The following is a 25,139-nucleotide window of genomic DNA, read 5'->3' on the forward strand; positions in this document are numbered from 1 at the left end:
CATGCTGCTCAGTCTGTAACTGCGGGTCTGAGTGAGCACCTACATTTGGCTGTTGAGGGGCAGCTGGTGGAGTTGGCAGGCGACTCTGCACTAAGTTCTCAGGTTGAATGGGAGTTGGGTCGAGGGAAGGAATGGACGCAGAGTTAGGGTGAAGAGTTGCGGTGGGTCAGCGGGGGTGAAAGGACATGGAGATGTCATTTTTAACAAGATTGGGTGAGGGTGGTAGGAAAGGAGGCAGCAAGAGTTCGGGACAGTTTGGCAAAGACTTAGGGATGGGGTGTCCTCAGTACGGCAGGAGACGCAAAGGAAGGTATACAGTGGGCTAGGAGACTAAGGACGAGAAGACACAGTTACGACTTGGAATAAGGCTGAGATCGGAGTTATCCAGAAGAAAGCGGTGAGCTCAACAGGGCACCTACTTTGGGGGTGGGTCTTAGATGAGAGGGCGGAGGTAGAATGTTTAGGATGAGCAGATCTTGGGGAGCTGGACAGGGGATGGGGGTGACTGGGATAAGAAAGCTGAGCCAGAAAAGGGGAAACCTGAATGGTGGGTCTCGGGGAGGTGAGCGCGGAGCATCGGGATTACCAGAGGGGTGGGGAGAGAGGATGAGGTGTGTCAGGGCGGGGCGAAGGGACGTGGCCGAGATCGGGGTTGGAACTGGGGTAAAATGGGGTCACGAGTGAAGCTGCATTTAAGCAAGACCGCTGGTGAGGGGATGCGGGCGCGGGCTGGGGGCTGGACAGACGGAGGGGACGGGGCCACAGCGGCGGTGCAGGGGGAAGGCTGGGTCGGAGCGGAGCGGGCGCGGGCTGGACAGGGCTGAGGGCTCTGAAGCCGGGCAGTCTCAGGGTAACCAGGGGCTGGGAATCGCGGAGGGAGCGGGAGGCCCACCGCCCGTTCGCGCCTCGGCCCTCCCACCACTCCGCCGCCCTCCTCGCATCTTGACCCCCTAACTCACCAAGCGGAGCGAGGAGCGAGGCGAGGGGGGCTCCCGGCTGCGGCAGCCCCTCAGCCTCCGAGCCGACGATGCGGTCTCTCGGCCACTGACAACAGGAAGCAGCGCCCCGGCCCCTGACGCCATCACGTTGGCTCGGCGCTCCGGCCCTGCCCCCGGCCCGCGGTGCCAATCGCGCAGCCCGAAGGAGCCTTGGGGCGGGGCCAGCTGCTCCCGGAAGTCCCTGGGAGCTGAGCCCCGGGGCAGATGCGAGGTCTGGGAGGCTGGGGAACTGGGGGCGCCTGCAGGGCGCAGAGAGGCGACGGCACCGGTGTCAGGGAGAACGCATCCGTTACCGCCCGCCTCCCGCAGGTCTGCGTCAAACTAGATCCTGGCTTCTGGGTTCCTGACCTCGTTTGGCCTCAGAACCATCTGTGCAACATTGGGGCTGTCACTTCGCCTCCCTCAGCTGAAGAGTTCCCACTTGTGAGTGGGACTAATAACGCCTGCCCTATCTTTGCCTCTCCGAGGGCAGCAGTGCAGCCCGTGGGGCGGAGCCCGGGCCCAAATTGGAGCCTCCGCGTTGCGCTTTCAGGATAAACACAGCTGTTTTGACCACACTTTATCCCAAGGGAACGCCTTGAGGTCCCCTTGGGCACACTCCCGTGTGTAACTCGCCCATTAGCACCGCCTGGCTTGAAGCTTAGGGGTCTGGTTATTCTCTTCTAGCCCGTGTAGAGGATTTCTTTCTTCCTTTCTGTTTTTTTTTTTTTTTTTTTGGGACAGGGTCTCACTCTGTCGCCCAGACTGGAGTGCTGTGGCACGATCACGGCTCACCACAGCTTTGACCTCACGGACTAAGCGGTTCTCCCACCTCAGCCTCCACGCAGCTGGGACTACAGGCGTGCACCACCACGCCCAGCTAATTTTTTCTTCTTCTTTTTTTTTTTTTTTTTTTTGCGACGGAGTCTGGCTCTGTCGCCCAGGCTGGAGTGCAATGGCGCGATCTCGGCTCACTGCAAGCTCCGCCTCCTGGGTCGACGCCATTCTCCTGCCTCAGCCTCCCGAGTAGCTGGGACTACAGGAGCCCGCCACCACGCCCGGCTAATTTTTTTATGTTTTTAGTAGGATGGGGTTTCACCGTGTTAGCCAGGATGGTCTCGATCTCCTGACCTGGTGATCCACCCGCCTCGGCCTCCCAAAGTGCTGGGATTACAGGCGTGAGCCACCGCGCCCGGCCAATCTTTTCATTTTTAAAAAAATTTATTTATTTTGTAGAGACAGGGTCTCACTGTGTTACCTAGCCTGGTCTCCAACTCCTGGCCTCAGGCGATCCTCCTGACTCGGCCTCCCAAAGTGCTGGGATTACAGGCATGAACCACCACACCTGGCCTGTATATCTTCTTTCTAACGCAAAAGTGACATTTCTCTTTCAGATGAACTCGGAACAAAATGTCATAAGTGGTGGCCACAGGTAGTGAAGAGCAGGGCAGGGAGTGTTGGCAGGGACCCATGCTCTGGACACTTTATACTTGCAGGCTTTGGTCAATTGGGAGCCTAGGGCCTGAGTGTGGATGAGGAGAGGTACTGCTACATGCCAGTCGTAAGTGGGCACAGGGGTTGGCTGGGGAACGGGCCAGTTCTTGGAAGCAAGCTTCACTGCCCTCGGCCTGGGCGTCCTGTGCTCTTTTGGCTTCTCTGGGTAGGAAGGTGTCCCTCTTATCTCTGCAAAGGTCAGAGTCCCACTGTCTGCTTTCAAGTATAAAACCAGCACTTGGGGGTATGACCCTGGACTGTATGAGGGCCGCCCTTTCAGTAATTCTCTCTCCAGGAGTGAGAACCTCCCCTTCTCAATTTTAGACTAGATGGGTCTGAGTGTGTTTAGTGCAGTTAATGGTTGAGCAGGAAGATTAGAAATAAGGACATAGAGACAAACTATTCTCTCGGTGTTAAACTCATTTTAAACAAAGTGGAAAGTAAGGGATTTAGTAGGGAAATCCTTTCACCTTGGCAAAACGATAGTATACAACTGGCACAGCATGATCCTTGGTGGCTTGGCACAAGCATTCCCTGTCCCCCCCCATCAAGCACATAATGTCCCTCAGTAATTCCACTGCATTTTTGTGCAGCGGCTGTGTGCTGGAGTGTGGGGAACCCCCCGGTAATCTCTTGTCTGCTTTTTAGGAGCCCCTATCTCCTGGTCTTCTCTTACCTCCCAAGCTACCCTGCTTCTTTGAAAAGTCTGCAGGCTTGTCTACCTCTTCTCAGCTTGCTCTGCATGCCTTGGGGAAGCTGCATAAAGCATGGATCATGAAGGAGGGGGGCGGAGGAGAGGGAAATGCATGTTTGCACAAATGGACCCTGAGCCCACCAGGCAGGCTCCAGATAGGGAAAAAAAAAAAAAAAAAAACCCTTACATTATCATGTGACTTGCGCAAGAAAAAAGGTACCTGCAAAGGGCCAAGGGACCAGAGAGGAGAACTTGAGAGGTATTCTGGAGGAGGCTACTTTTGATATGAGCTTTCTAGGTGAGTAAAGGGTATTGCAGCTGAAGGGACTGGCTGGTAAGTGGCCAGCAGATAGGAATACAGGCTGAGCTCAGGGAAGGGTGCACCCAGAGGTGGGGAGGAAGGTGGGAAGTGAAAAAGGAGGCTGGGCGCGGTGGGTCATGCCTGTAATCCCAGCACTTTGGGTGGCTGAAGCTGGTGGATCACTTGAGGTCAGGAGTTCGAGACCTGCCTGGCCAACATGGTGAAAGTCCATCTCTACTAAAAATACAAAAATTTGCCATGTGTGGTGGTGTGCGTCTGTAGTCCCAGCTACTAAGGAGGCTGAGGTATGAGAATTGCTTGAACCCGGGAGGCGGAGATTGCAGTGAGCCAAGATAATGCCACTGCACTACAGCCTGGGCGACAGAGTGAGATCCTGTCTCAAAAAAAATTTTTTTAATAATAATAAAAATAAATAAAAATAAAAGGAAGTGAAAAAGGAAAGGGGAAGGGGAGAGGGCCAGAATGGAAGGGGAGCTGAAGACTGAGCAAGGCAAAGTTGGAGGCCAGTGCAGAAAGGGCTCAAACCATTTGCAAGGATGGTTCACATCCCACTGGTCTGTCAGCTTAGATTTAAAGCACTACCCAGCGTTATTCAAAGCCAGACAGGAGAACTGTAGGCATCAGAATGCCCTGGGGACAGGTCCAAAATGCAGATTCCTAAGCCCCACACTAACCCTAAAGAGTCACTCTAGGATGAGGTCCAAGAATTTGGGCTTGACCCCACCGCTCCTGTCCCCTGCCCTCACACTGAGGACCTAAAGGATAATGAAAGGGGGGAATCTGTGCCCTAAATAATCCCTTTTGGCAGTTACTTTCTGTTTTCAAAGTTCAAGTCTGTCCTCCGGGACTAACCTAGGAGATGAGGGATAAGGGAATTAACATTTATGGAAAATGGAAGAACCTACATAGGCACCTGTGTTCACCTAATATGCCTTACCAGCCACCTGAAAGGTGGGTGCTGCCATTATCTCCATTGTATGGATGAGAAAATAGGCTTAAAAGAGGTTAAGTGGCCAGGTGCAGTGGCTCACGCCTGTAATCCCAGCACTTTGGGAGGCCGAGGTGGGTGGATCAAGAGATCCAGACCATCCTGGCCAACATGGTGAAACCCTGTCTCTACTAAAAATACAAAGAATTAGCTGGGTGTGGTAGCGCGCATCTGTAGTCCCAGCTACTTGGGAGGCTGAAGCAGGAGAATCGCTTGAACCCAGGAGGCAGAGGTTGCAGTGAACCGAGATCACGCCACTGCACTCCAGCCTGGTGACAGAGCGAGACTTCATCTCTTAAAAAAAAAAAAAAAAAAAAAAAAAAGAGGTTAAGTAACTTGCGGGGGAGCCACAGCCACAGAAGTATTAAGTGCTAGAAGTAGGATTCTTACCTAGTTCTTTCTGATTCTAGTTTCAGCTTTGTTCAGTGGGTTTTAGAGCCAGGGCTGTTTAGGTTTGAATCTCATCTCTATCCCATATTGTTTGCTGGGACTTCCTTAAAACAGTGTGGGGCCCAGGGCAACCCAATGAGTATGGGGCTAAGACAGCTGACAGCTGCCACCAAATCAGCATTTTTCACAGGCCCGTTGAGATAGCAGTGAAGACAGAAATTTCTAAATTGAATTTTATTGATGTTCAGGAAAGAGAAGTAAGTCACACCGCCTCTTGGTCCTCAGCCCCAAGCAGAGAGCCCAGAGTGTGTGACCTCAGGCAAGTGCCAAAACCTCTCTGAGCCTCAGTTCCTCATTGTAAATAGGGGCTAATGTCAGTTGATGTGAGGAGTAAATATCATGATATCCTGGCTGGGCACAGTGGCTCACGCCTGTAATCCCATAACTTTGGGAGGCTGAGGTGGGTGGATTACTTGAGGCCAGGAGTTCGAAACCAGCCTGGCCAACATGGTGAAACCCCATCTCTACCAAAGATACAAAAATTAGCCAGGCATGATGGTTCATGCCTGTAGTCCCAGGTACTTGTGAGGCTGAGGCACAAGAATCGCTTGAAGCTGGGAGGCTGAGGTTGCAGTGAGCTGAGATTGCGCCACTGCACTGCAGCCTACATGACAGAGTGAGACTCTGTTCCAAAACAACAACAACAACAAAAAAAAAAAAAAAAAAAGAAAAGAAAAAAAGAAAAGAAAAAGATGATATCCTTAATGCAAGTTCTGGCCTGTAGTAAGTGCTCAAAGATGAACAGTTGTTATTATTCTAGTTGTGGCTAATTTTCACCCTGCCAATTGGGCAGGTCCTTGCCTTCCATTGCTCTTGTAAGCACCTGAATGAGAGCCTTTCTTGTCTGAACCCCAGATATATTCTTGCTTGGCGTCTGATTGAAATAATAAAACTAATGTTAATGCACCCTCCTCTCTGGACACTGGAATCACTGGTGTGCTCTTCAGTTCTGTTGTAGGAAGCGGTTTCTTTCCACTCTCTCTTTTTTAAAAAATTGATTAAAAAGTGTTGTTATACACACGGTTTACAATTCAATAAAATGAAACGGAATGGGGATGAAACATAACGAACAACAGCAGTTCATTGTCCCCATTGTTCCCACCCTTCTGGGGAGCAGGCTTTCAGCAGAATCTTCTGGTGCTTCTCCCCACATCTCCTGCACGTCTCATTGTTTGTATTTTATTATTTTTTTGAGACACAGTCTCGCTCTGTCACCCAGGCTGGAGTGGTGCCATCTTGGCTCACTGCAACCTCCGCCTCCTGGGTTCAAGCAATGCTCCTGCCTCAGCCTCCCTACTAGCTGGGATTACAGGCACCTGCCACCATGCCCAGCGAATTTGATATTTTTAGTAGACGCGGGGTTTCACCATGTTGTCAAGCCTGATCTCAAACTCCTGACCTCACGTGATCCACCCGCCTTGGCCTCCCAAAGTGCTGGGATTACAGGCGTGAGCCACCGCGCCCAGCTGTCTCATAGTTTTAGACACTGTCTGTTGCCTTCCTGGTAAACCTGGCAAGGACTTAGCTCTTTTACACCCCAGCCCTGTCCATTCTTGAGGTTTGGGTATGCCACAATTTGTAGAAAATGAACCATGTTTACAGAATTGTGACTATATAAATATTATTCACCACAGAGCTTAATAATGTGCTGTGAGGTCAGGCATGGTGGCTCATGCCTGTAATCCCAGCACTTTGGGAGGCCAAGGTGGGCGGATCACCTGAGGTCGGGAGTTCAAGACCAACATGGCCAACATGGAGAAACCCCATCTCTACTAAAAATACAAAAATTAGCCGGGTGTGGTGGTGCCCCCCTGTAGTCTCAGCTACTTGGGAGGCTGAGGCAGAGAATCACTTGAACCTGGGAGGTGGAGGTTGCAGTGGGCTGAGATCATGCCACTGCACTCCAGCCTGGGCAACAGAGTGAGACTCTATCTCAAAATATAATAAAATAAAAATAAAATACACTCTGATGATGATGGCTGCTTCCCCCAAGGGTGCCTCAAGCTCTCCTTTTCTTTCAGTGCCATCTGCCATTATCGTGCCCTTGTTCTCTTCCAGTGCTCTGGCGGAGCAGGTGGCGCCCAGGCCCACAGTGCCCTCTCCAAGTTCTGTCCTCCATGTGCTCAAGTTATCCCCTAAACTTGTCACATGTGGTCATCCTGGAACTTTGCTTAACTGCTTCCTGGGTTGGGGCCTTTATTTCCTGGCTCCCTTCTCTTCTTGCTTAATTTCCCCTCCCTTTGCTGCAGCACATACTCAGTTAAGAATCCCTTTCTAACATTAAAAAAAGAAAAAGAGAATAGTTCTTGGACCTCCTCATGATAGAAATTATATCTTTAGGCCGGGTGTGGTGGCTCACGTGTGTAATCCCAGCAGTTTGGGAGGCCGAGGCAGGTGGATCACTTGAGCTCAGGAGTTCAAAACCAGCCTGAGCAACATGGTAAAACCCTATCTCTACAAAAAGTACAAAAATTAGCCAGGTGTGGTTGCATGTACCTGCAATCCCAGCTACTCAGGAAGCTGAGGGAGGAGAATCTCTTGAACCCAGGAGGTGGAGGTTGCAATGAGCTCTGATCATGCCACTGCACTCCAGCCTGGGCGACAGAGTGAGACCCTGTCTCAAAAAAAAAGAAAATAAAGTTGTATCTTTAATATCCATTAACTGAAAAATAAAAATAAAAATAAGGACCAAAAATTACTATGCGGACACACATGCTTTTAAATGAATTTGTGTGTTATTAACCACAGTAACATCTATGAACCTGTGAAAAACTGTTACTGGTTTAGGCTTAAGGGTTTGCCCAGTCTAGCTTCAATGTTCAATGGGTGGGCACGGTGGCTCACACTTTGGGAGGTGGCCAAGGCAGGCAGATCGCTTAGTCCAGGAGTTGGAGACCAGCCTGAGCCACATAGCGAAACCCTATCTCTACAAAAAATTTAAAAATTAGCCGTGTGCAGTCACGCGCACCTGTAGTCCCAGATATTGGAGGGCAGTGGGGGGTGGCGCTGAGGCGGGAGGATCACTTGAGGCCAGAAGGTCAAGGCTGCAGTGAGCCGAGGCTGAGTCACTGCACTCCAGCCTGGGTGGCACAGCAAAACTCTGTCAAAAAAACAAAACAAAACAAAACAAACAAACAAAAACCAAAGTTGGATGCAGTGGCTCATATCTGTAATCCCAACAACTTGGAAGGCTCAGGCAGGAGGATTGCTTGAGGCCAGGAGTTCAAGACCAGCCTGGGCAACATAGTGAGACCCTCGCCTCTGAAAAAATTAAATATTAATAAAAACAAACCCTAGTAGCTTCAGTCTTTGATTCTCCATCCCTCATTTCATCCCTTTGTCTTCTGGTAATATAATTTCCTTCTTGTTTTTCCTTTGGGATGAGCCACTTTCGCTCCCTGGGATTCTGCTGGGATTGAGTTACCGCCTTCCGGGCTCAAGCGATCCTCCCACCTCAGCCTCCCAAGTCGCTAAGACCATAGGTGCATGCCACCATGCCTGGCTAATGTTTTGTATTTTCTGTAGAGCCGGCGTTTTACCCTGTTGCCCAGGAGTTTTTCCTTTAATGTTCTCCTGCTACTTACTAATTCACTTTGTCACCCTGTGAGCTCATAAGAGCAGAGAGATAGCAACAGGAGCTAAAAAAAACTCTAAGCTGGGAAAAAATATTAAATATGAAATCATGATAGCTATTAGCTTAATTTGTTTTAGGCAAATTGCAAAGTAATTTTTTGGGAATCAGTGTCCCACTGCAGTGATTCCATACGGGGATTCCTAATTCCCAGTATGTTTTTAAAATAATTTGTAAACACCTAGTACAAACACATGATATGAAATTCAAGAGGTACAAAAGGGCATACAGCCCTGCACTCTCCCAGTTTCCCTCCCCGAAGGCAACCGCCATTACCAGTTTCTCGTGTGTGCTTCCAGAGGTATTCTTGTCCAACAGAACTTCAGTGATGAAAACAGTTGCCTGTGCTGCCAGTTTGGAAGCCATTAGCCACACGGGGCAGTTGAGCACTTGATATGTGGCTAGTGTGTCTTAGGAGCTGAATTTAAAAAAAAATTTTTTTTTTTTTAAAGACTCAGTGTCTTGCTCTGTTTACCAGACTGGACTGCAGTGATGTGTGAACATGGCCTCAAACTCCTATTTATTTATTTTTTGAGACAGGGCCTCACTCTGTTGTCCAGGCTGGAGTGCAGTGGTGCAGTCATAGGTCACTGCAACCTTGACCTCCTGGGCTCAAGAAATCCTCCCACCTCAGCCTCCTAAGTTGCTGGGACTACAGATGAATGCCACCATGTTTGGCTGATTTTTACAATTTTAAATTTTTTGCCTGGGCGCAGTGGCTCATGCCTGTAATCTCAGCACTTTGGGAGGCTGAGGCGGGCAGATCACCTGAGGTCAGGAGTTCGAGACCAGCCTGGCCAACATGGCGAAACCTTGTCTCTACCAAAAATACAAAAATTTGCTGGGCATGGTGGTGCGTGCCTGTAGTCCCAGCTACTTGGAGGCTGAGGCACGATAATCGCTGAACCCAGGAGGCAGATGTTGTAATAAGCTGAGACTGCGCCACTGCACTCCAGCCTGGGTGACAGAGTGAGACCCGTCTCAAAAAAAATAAAAATAAATAAATAAATAAATTTTTTGTAGAAAAGGGGTTTCACTATGTTGCCCAGGGTGTTCTTGAACTATTGGCCTCAAGCTATCCTCCCACTTGGCCTCCCAAAGTGCTAGGATTACAGGCATGAGCTACTGTGGCCAACCTAAATTTATATGTAAATAGCCATATGTGGCTAGTGGCTACTGTATCAGACCTCACAGTTCTGTACAGATAACGCACAGCGCACAGTAGCATACTATACACGCCCTACTAAATCTTGCTTTGTTCCCTTAACGGCACCTATGCATCTTGGAGATAGATTGTCCCAGTCTGCCTCATTTTTAAAAACTGCTGCATAATATCCTCTTGTAATCCACAAAGGCAATCCCAGACCCAGCCTGGGGGGCCATGGGTCATCACTTTTTACAACAAGCTCTAAAATCTTCCACATATACCATAATCAAGGCACTTCAGAACAACCCTAGGTTCCTCATGCCTCTACTTTTATTAGCCTGGGCCTGACATAGTTGGACATTGAATAGTCACTTCTGGGGGCTGGTGGAAATAATTTACCATGAGTGACTGCCCTAAAATATACTCTCCACCCACATGGCCCGTGTCTGGCATTCACTAGTGCTGGTGGCATTCTTTAAGGTTGCTCATATCTCTAAGTGGTTCTCCTTTAAAGAGCAAAGTCTCCTGGGAAAGGTGGTCATTAAGCAGAACATCTGGGGCTCATCTTGCTTTTGCCCTGTTGAGAGGGGCCAAGGGACTTGGTAGAGCAGCAGGGGCTCTGACGGTGAACCTCATTGTTTTTAAAATTATTCTTAAGAGGCCAGGTGCGTTGGCTCACACCTGTAGTCCCAGGATTTTGAGGAGCAGAGGCAGGAGGATCGTTTGAGTCCAGGAGTTCAAGATTAGACTGAGCAACACGGGGAGACCTCATCTCTACAAAAAATTTAAAAGAAAATTAATTGGGCATCGTGGCATGAGCCTGTGGTTCCCGCTACTCGGGAGGCTGAGGTGGGAGGCTGTGGTTCCCGCTACTCACCTGAGCCCAGGAGGTTGAGACTTGCAGTGAGCTGAGTTCACACCACTGTACTCGAGCCTTGATGACAGAATGAGAGTTTCTCAAAAAAAAAAAAAAAAAAAAAATTGTCCTTAAGTCCATGTGGACCCCTGACTAGGTTTGTGCCCTAGACAGCCTTCCTCTGAGGGCAATTCAGGTGGTGAGACTCCAGCTTTAAATGGCCTCTAGAGAAATTTCACTAACCTGCCTTGGTGTTTGACCCTGTATAACCCCTTTCTTCTGGAGGTCCCTTTGGGTGGCAGTAGATACGGGATTTGGTGTCTGACAGCTCTGGGGACAGATCCCAGCTCCAAATGGCAGAGTCTCTACAGATTACAAGCCAAATACTTAGCACTATGTGCTGATCTTCAGGAAGTCAGTCTATATTTCATAACAAGTCACATGGGGATAATGAAGGAATGGCCTAAAACGCTCTCAGTAATATTCCTGAGTCATCCCTCAGGGCTGGGCTTGGTGTTAGGCATGGCGGGGAAGGGAGCAGAGCTGTGTGCAGAGGAAGATGCAGTTCTTGCCTTGTCAGGGTCCCTGACCTGATGGCGACCCATGGTGGAGTCTTCATAGTGATAGACACCACTGTAAAAGCAGATCCAGGTTGTGCAACCCTCAAAGCAGGTCTCCTCACTCACCGGGATAGATAGACTATTGGCGGTACCTGCATCCACCGCTTGCCATGGTTTCGTTGTGGGTGGAGGATACTTTCCTGTCCCCTGGCTTTGGGTTTGCCCATGTGGATTGCTCTGGCCTTGGAATGAAGCAGAAACCAAAGGCTGCCAGTTCCGAGCCCACGTCTGAAGTCGCCTTAGGTGGTTCCGCGGGCCCCGTGCGCTCCCACCTTCACCCAGAGGGCCTTCTCTGGTGCAGCCGCTGCTTCTTCAGCCTCCGCCCAAAAGGAACGGAGGCCCCTGGCTGATCCGCAGGCCTACAGGGAGCCACAGAGCGCAGCGGCTGGACCAGCGTTCAAGCCCAAGCACAGGCCTGCGAGAACCTTGTTCCAGCCGCCGTTTAGGATGGTTGATTAGGACGCGTTGCAGTGGCGGTAGCTCACCAATCCAGTGCGTGCACCCGCTCCTTTATTAGGCCATAGAGCCAGTGGCTCCCACAGGGACCTGATACAACAGTGCGTTAAATAAGGAGCATATTGAGCTCTCATGTCGTAAGCCAGTGGAGAAGTCCAGGGCTAGTGTGGGGGCTCCGGCGGGGGCTGTGGCCCGCATCCGCATGGAGCCTCCCCATGGTTCACAGGTCTCAGTCTTCGGAGCCTTCGGCCCTGCGAGCCCGAACGGTCCACAGGGGGGCGCCAAACCCTCTTTCGAACGCCATCCTCTAAAGCCTAGGCTCCAACCGGTTCCATTTCTTCAGGCTCAGGATTTTCACTCTTCTCGAATGGGGGTGTCCCTCCCCCAATCTTCTGAGTCGCAACAGCATCTCCCTCCCTCCAGGACCTCAGAGCCAGAGCTGGGCGAGAGGCCCTGACCTCCGGGGTAGGGTGGAAGCGTCCCTGTGAAGGTGCTGTCCTGCCTCCCATCCCCAGGCGCCGGGCCTCTCCCACCCTCAGCGCCCTGCTCACCTCCAGCTGAAGATGTCAGGGCACCTCTGCTTCCTCCCTGCCGTTTCTGCAGTACCGCCGAGTGTGCATAAACGGGTTTAATACAGGCTTTGCTGGGTGCGGGGACTCCCACCTGTAATCCCAGTACCTTGAGAGACCAAGGCGGGAGGATCACTTGAGGCCAGGAGTTCAAAACCAGCCTGGGCAACAAAGTGAGGCCCGTCTCTGGAAAAAAAAAAAAAAAAAAGAATAAAAGAGGTCCCTTTTTCTGGGAGATTGATATAGGGGAGTGTGAGTTAGAAGGGAGGCATCGAGGATCAGTCATTTAAAGCAGCATCCAAGGATGTTCAAGGCTAGAGATCCACAGGTGTATTTTCAGAAACTGAATTTCCTGGCGGGGCACAGTGACTCATGCCTGTAATCCCAGCACTTTGGGAGGCCAAGGTGAGTGGATCACTTGAGGTCAGGAGTTCAAGACTAGCCTGGCCAACATGCTGAAACTGTTTTTAGAAAAAAAAAAATTGGCCAGGCATGGTGGTGGGCGCCTGTAATCCCAGCTATTCGGGAGGCTGAGGCAGGAGAATCACTTGAACCTGGAAGGCAGAGGTTGCAGTCAACCGAGATCACGCTACTGCACTCCAGCCTGGGTGACAGAGACTGTCTCCAAAAACAAACAAACACACAAACAAAACACAAAAAAACCCCAAAACCCAAAACAAGCCAGGCGTGGTAGCTCGCACCTGTAATCTCAGCCCTTTGGGAGGCCAGGGCGGGTGGATTACCTGAGGTCAGGAGTTTGAGACCAGCCTGACCAACATGGGGAAACCCCGTCTCTACTAAAAATACAAAAATTAGCCGGGCATGGTGGTGCATGCCTGTAACCCCAGCTACTAGGGAGGCTGAGGCAGGAGACTTGCTTGAACCCAGGAGGCAGAGGATGCAGTGAGCTGAGATCGTGCCATTGCATTCCAGACTGAGCAACAAGAGCAAAACTCCACCTTAAAAGAAAAAAAAAAAAAGAAAAAACAAACAAAACTCCTGAATTTCCCTGTGGATACCTTTTCTCTGGCAGACTTTTTCAATGAGGGCTAAGTTGTCTCCAATACTATATGGCCTGTAGACCGCTCAGCTTTCATTCCAGTGAAAACATTCCAGAAAAATCTCTGAATCAATCCCAGGTGTTTCTCCAATCAGCTCAGGATGATTGTGTGTTACCTGCTGCCCAGCTAGTGACACCTCTCCAGGCCTCTGACTTAGCTAGGTCTCCACCATGTGACTCCACCGTAGACTCCCCGCCTTCTTCTTTTGCAAAGCCTTGGACACCCAAACACCTACCAAAAGTGGGTTAGTGTGCCAGGACACCTCCAAGTGTAAGTGGGGCTCTCCAGCACACCTGGATGTGGAGGTGTGATGCAGAGTGGTGGCTGCTCGTGACACTCATTTCACCCCTTTCTGTGCAGGTGCCAGAAGCCCAGGAAGCACACATCAAGGCTCGCTTGCCAGCGGGGTGCTGCCAATAAAATGTAGTCACGTGGAATTTGGGATGTGGAAAGGAGGTAGAAGTCATCCTTTCCTCCCCCATAGCAGCAGGTGTGCAGGCTCTGGTGGTCAGCTGGACTCCATACTCCCCCACCAGTCACCAGCCTGGGGACCGTGGGGCTGCAAGGACCTCAGCAGCAGTTTCCCAAGTTTCCTGACTTCTTCCATCCTCTGGAAATCAGCTGTGGTAAAGTAGCCTGAAAGCCAGTGGTGCAACCCCATCCCCACAACCTTCACCACCTCTAGCCCCTCCAGTGATAAGCACTAATTGCCTATATACAACCCTTTTTTGTTTGAAATATCTAGAGTAATTTCTGTTTTCCTATCTGGGGTAGTGTAACATAAGAAGAAATATATATTTGGTCTCTGCCCCCAGTTCCTAACACAAAGCTCCCAAAACCCTTGAAAATTCCTGAATGATGGCAGTGCTAAGAGCATTGTCCTTTGTTAGTTTATCATTTTTCTTTTCTCCTAGGTGTTTTTTCCTTTTTAAACTTTTCTTTTAGGTTAGGGGGTACATATGCACGTTCGTTATATAGCTAAACTTGTGTCATGGGGGTTTGTTGTACAGATTATTTCATCACCCAGGTACCAAGCCTAGTACCCAATAGTTTTTTCTGCTCCTCTCCCTCCTCCCACCCTCCACCCTCAGGTAGGGCCCAGTGTCTATTGTTTATGAGTTCTCATTATTTTGCTCCCACTTATAAGAACATACAGTATTTGGTTTTCTGTTCCTGTCTTAGTTTGCTGAGGATAATGGCCTCTAGCTCCATCTGTGTTCCTGCAAAAGACATGATCTCGCTGTTTTTTATGGTTGCACATCTTTTGTTCTAACATTTGGTCCTTAAACCTGGTTCCTGACACAGAGCTCCTAAATCCCTTGGAATTTTCTGGGTGATAGAAGCGTCCTTTGTTCTCATGAGGTGACTCTTGGTGGGCTCCTTATTTGGGGACTGGTCACCAAAAAGACCTATGGTTGGAAGTGTTGTGCTGTCAGCCCCATTCCCCATCCTCTGGGGTGGGGAGTGGAGCTGGAGCTCAATCATGCCTACGTGATAAAGCCTCCAGAAAACTCCTTAAAAGACAGGACTTGGAGAGCTTCCGGGTTGGCGAACACATCCATGTTCCAGGAGAGTGGTGCACCCCAACTCCACAAGGACCCTTCCAGACGTCACCCTGTGTATCTCTTCATCTGGCTTCATCATTTGTGTCCTTTAAAATATCCTTTGTAATAAATCAGCAATAGTAAGAAAACTGTTTTCCTGGGTTCCATGAGCTGTTTTAGCAAATGTTCAAACCTGAGGAGGGAGTTGTGGGGACCTCCAATTTATAGCCAGTTGGTCAGATGCATAGGTGATGCTTGGCCTTGCACCTGGGGTCTGACATGGGGATGGTCCTGTGTGACAGAGCCCTTAACCTGTGGAGTCTGGTGCTCACTCTGCTTAGGGCTTCTCTGCCTTTTTAGTGTCCTTCTAGAAGGCCTTTCCTTCCTCTTGTCAGCTCAGAAAACTTTTCTTCCACTTCCCTTCTTCTAAACCATCCCTTACATCTACTCCTTTCCAGCCGACCAAGAGCAGAACCACGGCTGGCTCCACTGCCACCATGCTGTCCCACACTGTCTCCTCGGGATGTATTCAGATGTCCAACCCTCCCCCCAGTCTAGGAGCCACCCCCCTTTGAGGAAAGGGATGCTGGCCTAGTCAACTCTTTCCCAGCACCAGGCACAGCATCTGGCACATTCCATCTTTTTCATGGACTCTCCCCAGGCGGCCTGACCTTCCCTCCTCTGAACCAGTGCATTTCTTGTCTGCATCATGTTTGCCCTAATCAGATACCACCTTATTTCCATCTTTTAAAAAATGCTCTATTTCTCTGGCAGGCTTCATCGGAATCACAATTTTCATTCATTTAGTAACTGTTGGCCTTGTATCCACCTCTCTCTGGCACTCAGGTCTCACTTAAGAGCTGGCTGTCTGTGATTTGCAATCAGTGAGATGGAGACAGAGGGAGCCCTAGGCAGTCATGTTTTGTTCCACCTGACCCTGGGCGCCACTCCCCCTCCCAGGCTACAGGCGGACATGGGCACCAGCCAGGGAGAGACAGCTCATCCATACTCTGGCCCAGCAGAAACTCTGGGCTTAGACAAAACTGCTCAATTGAGGACAAACTGGGCAAAGTAGAATCTTACTTTGGGAGTTTTTAGAAATATGGTGGGGTGGCATTTGGGAATAATAAGAATTGTAGCTGGGCATGGTGGTACGCGCCTGTAGACCCCCAGCTCTGGAGGCTGAGGTAGGAGGATCTTTGGAGCCCAAGAGCTTGAAGCAGCAGTGAGCTATGAAGCACCACTGCACTCCACCCTGGGTGACAGATCAAGACCCTGTCTGAAAAAAAAAATGTACACATTTGAGATGCATAAAATTTTCTTGTTATATAAAAAAATTATAAGCATCGAAATGTGAAATTATGTAAATATGCCAAAATAGAAACCTGGAGGTGCTTGGAATCCAGACTTTGAGAGCCCAGCAGTGCAAGGATCTCTAGTGTTGGCTTTTTTTTTTTTGAGATGGGATCTCACTCTGTTGCCCAGGCTAGTGTGCAGTGGCCCATTATAAGCTCACTGCAAGCTCCGCCTCCCAGGTTCAAGCAATTCTCTCTCCCTCAGCTTCCTGAGTAACTGGTGTTACAGGCGTGCATCACCACCCTCAGCTAATTTTTGTAATTTTTAGTAGAGACAGGGTTTTGCCATGTTGGCCAGGGAGGTCTTGAACTCCTGCCTCAGGTGGTCCACCTACCTCAGCCTCCCAAAGTGCTGGGATTACAAGCATGAGTCACTGCACCCGGCCTTGTCTTGGCTTCTTGTCAGCTCCCTGCTTATGTCCAACACTCACCCCTATTAGAGCTGGTGTGGGGAGCTTCTGTCCTGATGACTTAACAGTGTAATTAAAGTGCTTAGCGCTGTACCTGGACCACAGCTGGTGCCAATAAACAGCAGCTGCCATCATCCTCACCATCTGCATGTTATTGTTATATTAACTCTTTGATGGCAACCATGGCTTATCCCCCCAACTACCTAAGCCCTACAGCAGGGCAGTAGAATGGTTAAGAGGCTTTGAAGTCTAACAGTGCTAGCTTAAAACCCTAATTTGTTGCTTTGGATGTGTGGCTTTGGACACTTTGGGCAGCTCACCTACGTTCTTTGAGCCCTGTATCCTTATCTGTCAGATGATGATTTTTTTTTTTTTTTTTGAGATGGAGTCTCATTCTCTTGCCCAGGCTGGAGTGCAGTGGCGTGATCTTGGCTCACTGCAAGCTCCACCTTCCAGGTTCACACCATTCTCCTGCCTCAGCTTCCCGAGTAGCTGGGACTACAGGCTCCTGCCACCACACCCGGCTAATTTTTTTGTATTTTTAGTGGAGACAGGGTTTCACCATGTTAGCCAGGATGGTCTCGATCTCCTGACCTCGTGATCCGCCCGCCTCAGCCTCCCAAAGTGTCAGATGATTTTAACAACTATGCTTCCATGAATTGCTGGGCTAGATGATGTGACTGTAAAATGCCTAACCCACGGTTTAGCATCAAGTAAGCAAATTGTAAATGGTAGCGCTACTCTGCCTATGACTATTTAGTCTTGTGCTTTAAACTCAAATATTTGTTGGCCTACTGAAGTCACCACACAGAGAAATATGCTTTTCATTCTCAGTAAAGAACTTTGGGAGATAACTGGGGCAGGCAGCAAGAGAACAGATGTCATATGTCTAGATGTCATATGTCTAGCATCAGCAAACTCATCGGAACTGATGGGCAGCTCACTTTGCTTAGAACCTGCACCAGCATACACACGGGGCTGCTTCCCAGTCACACTGCTCCTGGGAAGGTAGGGGGGCTGCTGTTCTGCAATTAGCACGGTTCTTTACCTCCTATTACCGAACTGCCAGAGTTCATTTGTGTTCAGTTAGGTAGATGACCAATTCTTGTTCATTCCTATTTTCTTTTGCTCACTAATGTGTTTAACGTTCACTAACCTACCAAATGTGATTTATTAGTGACTTTTTCTTTGAAGATGGAGTGGAGGAATCCTAGTGCTTTCTGCAACATGCTACTGCTGTTATGGAACAGTGCAGTTATGGATGTGCATCAGCCGGGGATGGGGAGAGGCTAGGGCAGTACATGTGAATGGAGAGGTAGCCCCACCAGTGTGTTTTCTGAAATACAGTCCCTCAGAGGGCAGTCTTGGGAAATTACTGTTCTTACACATTCTTCTTGACTGTACCCCTCCAGCACCTCCCTGCTATCCAAGGGTTGGGATTTTTAAAAAGAAAAACACATTTTAAAAAAAGCAATGTGAATCTTTTGCCATCTTGTAAGGGTGAAAAGCCCCCTACCAAGTCGGGATGAACATTCATGCGTGTGCTTGAGGGCTTGGGAAAAAGACAGGGCTTGGCCCCACAGTGCAGGTAGGCCCAGTGATCCTATGATAGGGGCCAGGAGATGGGAGGTCCCCTGTGGGCAGGAGTTCAAGTATGTGGTATTATATGACTGGTGCTTGATGAACCAAGGGAGAGGGCACCAAAAACAATGTTATTTAATTGTAAAATCTCCACCCCCTGAGCATATGTTTTCAGGTCTGGGTGACTAATTAGACTGGGAAACAAGGGCAGGAACGATGGCCCTGTGCTTGCTCTGCCCGCTGCCTCTGTGGATGTGTGGGCCGCTGGCTTCAGTCCTGCTTTTTTGATGGCCGTTGTTTACGCTATGTATTTTTGCAGGAGGCCTGAGGTGGGCTGGGTTCTCCTCCTATGGCAGGGCTTCACTCTCCTCCTCCGTTGGGGCTTCGCTGTCCCTGGGATAAGAATAACAATGCCAAGGTTTTGATTCTTGAAAGGAGCAATTAAGCTTCTCACCCCCTCCTCATTTTAGATGGGAACTGTGAGGGCCCCGTCATTTACCCAGGGTCCCTGTTGAGGATCTTGTCCTCATTAGATGACTTCTTGTGCAGCTTCCATGTGTGATTATTTACTCTTGTGGCACTGAGAGGTTTGTACATATCTTTAAGCCAGATAGTTTGGCTCATTCCCCAGGCTGGAGTGCAATGGTGCTATCGTGGCTCCCTGCAACCTGCGCCTCCTGGCTTCAAGCAGTTCTCCTGCCTCAGCCTCCCAAGTAGCTGGGATTACAGGCCTGCGCCACCACACCCAGCTAATTTAGTATTTTTAGTAGAGATGGGCTTTCACCATGTTGGTCAGGCTGGTCACGAGCTCCTAACCTCAAGTGATCCCAAAGTGCTGTGATTACAGGCATGAGCCATCCTGCCTGGCCTTTCTGGTTAAAATTCTGTGAGGTTTGCATAAAAGGAATAGAGTAGGGGCCCAAAAACCAGTAAGATGAGAAAATAGTGTTTCCTCAGTTCTAGGATCCAGGGGAAAAAAAAAAAGAAATAAAAGAGAAAATACTGTTTCCTGCCACTTAAGAGGAAGGACTCACATATCCTACCTTCCATCAGCCTTGAAGGAGACAAGTGCCCTCTCTCTCACACCCGGTGGCCTTCCCTTCCCCTTTCCCAGAGCCTCCAAGAAGGCCCCTGGCCTGGCCTGATGCCCACCATCAGCAGCAATAGGCACCAAAACCTTTCTCCTTCCTATCCCTCCCCACCTCCCGAAAGGGCTGGGGACAGCAGGTGTGTCCTTGTTAGTTCCATCCAGCTCAGCTTTGGCTGGGGAGCTAATTTCACTGGAGCCAGGCTAAGCATTAGGGTAAGTAAGTATTTGTCCTGTCTCGGGCAGTTTCCTCACTGAAAAATGAGGGCAGAGTTCTAAGCCCTCCTCTAATTCTAAAATTCTAATTAAAACGTCGCGAGACTAGTGGTGGTGCATGCCTGTAATCCCAGCTACTCGGGAGGCTGAGGCAGGAGAATCGCTTGAACCTGGGAAGTGGAGGTTGCCGTGAGCCGAGATCGCGTCATTGCACTCCAGCCTGGCAACAAGAGGGAAACTCCGTCTCAAAAGAAAAGAAAAAAAAATCACCAGACTAATATTTACCTTGAGAATCCTTCTTCATCTTCTTGTAATGACCTTCGGTGACAACAGATCTGTTTTAGAAGAAAACGCAATTAAGATTATCTATGACAACAACCACCATCTCCAAATCTGTATTGATTCCTTTTATTCATTATAAGTCTCATCTACCTGATGAGGTAACTTTTTTGAAGACAGGAATTGCATACTGTGTAACACTGCTTTGATTCTTCCATAGTTCAGTCATCCTTGCTATCTTGCGGGGGATTGGTTCTAGGATACCGCCCCCACACCATACCAGAATCTGTGGATGCTCAATCCCTTACACATAATGGTGTAGTATTTGCTTATAACCAACACGCATCCCCCCTATACTTTATTTACTTAGCGACAGGATTGCCCTCTGTTGCTTACGCTGGAGTGCAGTGTCATTCTCTGTTACTCAGGATGGAGTGCGGTGTCACGATCACAGCTCACTGTAGCCTCAACCTCCTGGGCTCCAGTGATCCGCCCACCTCAGCCTCTTGAGTAGCTGAGACTACAGGTGCATACTACCACACCTGGCTATTTTTTTTTTAATTTTTAATAAAGACAAGGTCTCACTATGCTGCCCAGGTTGGCCTCCCAATGTGTTGGGATTACAAGTGTGAGCCACCATGCCTGGCCCCATGTAATTTAAGTCATCACTAATAAAATGTATACATATTGTACAGTGGTGACAGTTGTTATATTGTACTTTCTGTTTGTATTTTTATTGTTTTTTTTTTCTTCAAATATTCAGCCTGATCTAGTTGAATCTGAAGATGTGGACCTGCTGATGAAGAGGGCTGACTGTATCTAACTTAGGGTCTTGCATGCAGCTGGCACTTAATACATTTTATTGACTGTTTTAGATAACATTCAACAGATAATTCCTAATAAAAACTCTTAAAAGTAGGAGAAAAAGGAAACCTGAGTCCTTCCTCTGAAGTGGCAGGAAAACTAGCCTGGGCAACATAGCAAGACCTTGTCTCTACAAACACATTTTTTAAATTAGCTGCCTGCCTGTAGTCCCAGCCACTCAGGAAGCTGAGGCAGGAGGATCCCTTAAGCCCAGGAGTTTGATGTTACAGTGAGCTAGATCACACCATTGCTCTCCAGCCTGGGTGACAACAAGGCCCTGAGAAGGGAAAAAAAAGGAAAGGAAAGGAAAGGAAAAAGGAAAAGGGAAAGGAAGGAAAGAGTAGAAGTATTGGAAAGGAAGAGACAAAACTATCATTATTTGCATACTAAATGATAAATGTTAGCCAAAGAAGCCTAAGAGAATCAACTAAGATTTTACTGGAAGTAATGAGGATTCAATACAGTGGCTATCTACAAAATCAAGAAATCAGCACACAAACCTCAAATACTTTTCCCATGTACCACCAATAACTAATTAGAAAATGGAAGAAAGATCCCATTTACAATGGCAATACAAATGTATGAAGAATTTAGGAACAAAAATACAAAGATCTTTTATCTAACAAAAGATGTGTAAGATCTATATATGGAAACACTAAAGCTCTTCTGAAAGACATTAACAAGAAATGAATACATGACATGAGATAGCACGTTCCTAGAATGTTGTACAGATGTAAATTCTCAAATTAATCTACAAATTTAACATAATCCTATTCAAATCCCAAGATAGTTTTTGGTGGTGGCTGTTTTTAAGACAGGGCCTCGCTGTGTTGCCCAGGCTAGAGTGCAGTGGTACGACCACAGCTCACTGCATCCTCGACCTCCCAGGCTCAAGCGATCCTCCCACTTCAGCCTCTGAAGTCTCTCATATGGTGTCCAAGAAATGGTGACAAATCTCACAAAGGGACTAGGCTCAGCAGGGCTGGAATATTCAGGGAAGGTGTCAAGAAGAAAGATGAACTTGAGTTGGCTTTTGAAAGATGCATAGGACTCCCACAGGCAGGGTGAAATAAGGGCATTTTAGATGGACAAACACACAGACAAAAGCAGAAATGCGGGTGGTGTGACTGGGGTTTGGTGAGGGGCTGCTGTGGCTGGAATGGAGGGCTGGCTGCCACAATCATGGAAATGGTAAATGAGGCAAATAAGGTTGGACTGGTGGCATAGCATCAAGGTTGCCAGCTTTATTAAATCACTCTTCCAATATGCTAGCACTGGCCTGTTGGGAAAAGTAATACATCATGTAATCGAACAAAAGACAGAGGCAAGCTCCAGGAATCGGCACTGTAAACAGGACTTGCCCCAGAGTAGCCAGATGTAGGCTTTAGGTAAGTTGATGCAAGCTGAGCATCTCTAATCTGAGGGGGAATGTCTCACATGGTGTCCAAGAAATGGTGACACATCTCACAGAGGGTCTAGGCTCAGGAGGGCTAGAGTATGAGATGTTCCCCCTCACCAGTGAACTTAAAAATGTGGCCAACAATTTTTGTAAAAGATGGCTACTCTGTAGTGCTTTAACTGGACCTATTTAGACAATGCCTTACACACTGGAGGACGATACTGTGTAAATCTAATAAGTCTACAAGACAATACTTCTGTCTTTTGGCTCTCTCCTTCCTCTCCAGGGTGATGACAACTCCGTGAGGGTGGAGATTATACCTCTCTCATCATTTCAGCAACAAGGAAATAATTTAGTGGCAGAGTAAGGGTGACTTGGTGAGTACATCCAATTGTTGACATAGTTTTGGGTGGGAGAAATTTTGCTATTATATCCACTTCTTAAAATAGTCTAGTGGGATTAACTTGGTTTCAATTCACAGAGATCTGGAAGCGAGGATCCTTTAAAAATCCTGAAATATACACTGCAGTAAAAGAACAAAGCATACACCTCAGCCTTAAATGACTGAAGTATGTCAAGTAGCAGCAGGTGGGAAAGTGGCTTTGGTTTTCAGTTTGTGAGCTCTGAATCCACACAAAGACAGGACTGCATTCTGAAAACCTGAATTAATTATTGTCCTTACCTCAATGAGGCAGAGAAGTATAATCAAAATCGTTAGTATTCCAGTCACAATTAACGCCAAGATGAGTTTTTTGGTATAGCCATATCCTGGAAGTTCTTTTGTGAACTAAAAAAAAAAAAACCAGAATGAGAGCTAACTATTCAAAACCCCAGTATTCCAGGTGAGTAGCTTACAGGTTCTTTTTTATTTTTTTGAAAGAGGGTCTCACTCTGTCACCCAGGCTGGGGTACAGTGGTGCAATCACCATTCACTAGACTCGACCTCCCTGGGCTCAGGTGATCCTCCCACCTCAGCCTCCCAAGTAGCTGGGACTACAGGCACGTGTCATCAACCCAGCTAATTTTCTTATTTTTTGTGGAGACAGGCTTTCACTATGTTGGCCAAGCTGGTCTCAAACTCCTGACTTCAAGTAATCCACCCACCTTGGCCTCCCAAAGTGCTGAGATTACAGGCGTGAGCTACCACCCCCAGCCTACAGTTCATCTTGTGCCCTAATCTATTTCACTCTCTACATGAGCAAAGTGGGAGATCACTGTCATGACCAAAGTTACATGGCCAAGATAAGCTATGGCCTGGGAGTCCCAGATTCTTCTGTGTGGGCACTTTCCTGGGATATGCTAAATGATGGGAAATCTGGGTCTCATGTTTCTGTGTAGTCCTCACCTCAAGCGACTTCTCTTTCTGTTCACTCTGGGCTTCTGTGCTCTCATTAATGTAGTTCTCAGTCTTCCATTGGTCCGTATCCCATTCTATCTTGGATGCCTTTACTTCCTGCTGCCCACTGAGAAGCTTCATCAGGTGGCCTGTCCTGGAGACGAGCTTGGCACAGGTCACTTGCACATGGGCCCCAGAGCAGTCCATCTTCAAGGTCCGGATAACATGAGCAATGAGCCTTCTCACATTGTTGTTGGGGATAACGGACTGCAGCTGCTGGGTTAGCTGAATTTCAAACTGATCACCTGGGGACGAGAGCAATGGGTAATTGAAGCTTTTGGGCTCGGGGGACAGGTCAGTGCCCACGTTGTTGTATTCCCATTTTGTCTCAGTTTGTTTAACAGTTGGCCCTAAGTTGAATGCAGTCCCAGCGGAATCTGCCTCAGGAGGATGATTGTAGTTTGTGTTTTCAGAGATGGTTCCTTCTGGCATGTTAGTGTTTTCCATAAAAACATTTTCTTCAAAGGCATTTCTTGCAGTTGTGTCTTTTGTATTATTGTTTTCTATAAAATGTTCTGAAGGAGCAGATACTTCCAGAAAAGGATTTTCTTGAGGACTCAGGTCTCTTAAGGATGAAAAAGCCCCTTGTGAAGGGGAATTTATGAGGCTCTTCGCTGCAGAGAACGGAAGCCTGTTTGAGAGCATCAGTCTACTCAGATAACTTTTCTTTCTGACCTTTGGACTCTTTTTGACCTTGGGTGTTCTGTGGGTCATGCGGGAGCGAGTTTTGTGAAAGCGGTATTTTTTTCTGGAATGTACGATGGGTTTAGATGTCTTCATATTTGTAACTCTAGCCTTTGCACTTTCTAAAATGGAAATAGCGTGGGTTAAGTCTTTCCATCTGTCTCTCACCTGTGGTAGGGCTTTTGCAGGGCTGGAGGTAGAAGGCGCGCCCTTGGAGAAGGGTTTCAGCACAGAGACTGCTGCCTTATGCTCTTGGGTGAACGAAGGCTTGGTGTAGACGGCGTTTCCCGCTAACTTCTCAGGCCCCTGCTGTGTGTGAGGCTGTTTCAGCTCCCTTGGGGCTGGACTTCCGAGCCTTTTTTCTTCGGCAGTGTTCTCCACAGATGCCTGGGCACCCTGTTCCCTCCTGATGCTCTGCCTTCCTACCTCTTTGAAGTGCCTTTTCTGGATGCTCCTTGGGCCCATGAGGACTCTATTCAGTCTCTGCCGGTTTTTGCCTACAGTTTGAATCTTTGCCAGGCTGTTTCCTGTGGTTGGCAGTTTAATGAACGGTAGTAACAGTGATTTCACATCTAGGTTAACGGCTGAGAAATAAGGTAAGATGTAACTTAGTGTACTGGTAACATCACTCTCGTCATTGGTGTCTAGCTGCTCACTCCCAAAGCCTGACAAGTTGATGCCACTGCTGTCTGAGGGCTCCTCCGGCTCAATAATCAGCTCAGTGCTTGTGTAATTCTTCCGGGCTTGTAACACCTTCATGAACGCTCCTTCTGGATTCCCTACAGATGCTTCTTCAGCTGTCAAAAAAGAAGAGACTGCTTTGATCATGAAAGATGATGGGATGGGATGCATCAGTCCATAGCTGTACACTCCAGTCACACAGAGTAGGAGTCAGCAAACATTCGAGTGCCATTCAGAGAGGAGAAACACACACTCAATCCTAAACCTATGAAATGGCAACAACAAAAGGAGAAAATACATCTTTTGAAAACACGGCCACCTACTTGGAACATTCCATAGTGTGACATAGAGTAACTCTGTTTAGGATTATTTCGTTGA

The 25,139-nt window shown here is 48.4% G+C and overlaps 1 protein-coding gene, 2 long non-coding RNA genes and 1 pseudogene across 5 annotated transcripts in view, besides 3 other annotated features; 1 reads left to right on the forward strand and 3 right to left on the reverse strand.

The window, feature by feature from the left end:
- Positions 1-1,088, reverse strand: part of PLEKHM1P1 (pleckstrin homology and RUN domain containing M1 pseudogene 1) — a 52,344-nt pseudogene extending 51,256 nt beyond the window's left edge. The window contains exon 1 of the transcript NR_024386.2: positions 960-1,088. The product of NR_024386.2 is annotated as a pleckstrin homology and RUN domain containing M1 pseudogene 1 (transcript). The remainder of the gene's footprint in view (positions 1-959) is intronic.
- Positions 623-712: a silencer, noted in NCBI's record as "silent region_8851". NCBI's record gives its function as "represses an Ori minimal core promoter by ATAC-STARR-seq in GM12878 lymphoblastoid cells {active_cell/tissue: GM12878}" and the evidence as "EXISTENCE:reporter gene assay evidence [ECO:0000049][PMID:35858748]".
- Positions 803-1,262: a silencer, noted in NCBI's record as "silent region_8852". NCBI's record gives its function as "represses an Ori minimal core promoter by ATAC-STARR-seq in GM12878 lymphoblastoid cells {active_cell/tissue: GM12878}" and the evidence as "EXISTENCE:reporter gene assay evidence [ECO:0000049][PMID:35858748]".
- On the reverse strand, positions 8,300-10,661 carry LOC105371860 (uncharacterized). The gene is made up of 2 exons (XR_934918.4): positions 10,581-10,661; positions 8,300-8,974 (listed from the first exon to the last, which is right to left on the reverse strand). It is a non-coding gene; the product is annotated as an uncharacterized LOC105371860 (long non-coding RNA).
- Positions 11,955-12,004: an enhancer, noted in NCBI's record as "active region_12601". NCBI's record gives its function as "activates an Ori minimal core promoter by ATAC-STARR-seq in GM12878 lymphoblastoid cells {active_cell/tissue: GM12878}" and the evidence as "EXISTENCE:reporter gene assay evidence [ECO:0000049][PMID:35858748]".
- The window catches only part of LOC105376844 (uncharacterized), a 59,955-nt gene continuing 48,530 nt past the window's right edge, over positions 13,715-25,139 (forward strand). Inside the window, exon 1 of the long non-coding RNA XR_934912.4 lies at positions 13,715-13,891. This is a non-coding gene — a long non-coding RNA (uncharacterized LOC105376844). The remainder of the gene's footprint in view (positions 13,892-25,139) is intronic.
- LRRC37A3 (leucine rich repeat containing 37 member A3) overlaps positions 18,034-25,139 on the reverse strand; it is a 65,349-nt gene continuing 58,243 nt past the window's right edge. For both annotated transcript variants that reach the window (NM_001303255.3, NM_199340.5), the window contains 4 exons: positions 23,346-24,877; positions 22,683-22,787; positions 19,744-19,793; positions 18,034-18,548 (listed from right to left, as the gene is read on the reverse strand). In NM_001303255.3, coding sequence (NP_001290184.1) covers positions 18,503-18,548; positions 19,744-19,793; positions 22,683-22,787; positions 23,346-24,877 — 1,733 coding nt within the window. In that variant the 3' untranslated portion in view covers positions 18,034-18,502. The remainder of the gene's footprint in view (positions 18,549-19,743; positions 19,794-22,682; positions 22,788-23,345; positions 24,878-25,139) is intronic.

Source organism: Homo sapiens, chromosome 17 (genome assembly GCF_000001405.40).
Source record: "Homo sapiens chromosome 17, GRCh38.p14 Primary Assembly".
NCBI lineage: Eukaryota > Metazoa > Chordata > Mammalia > Primates > Hominidae > Homo > Homo sapiens.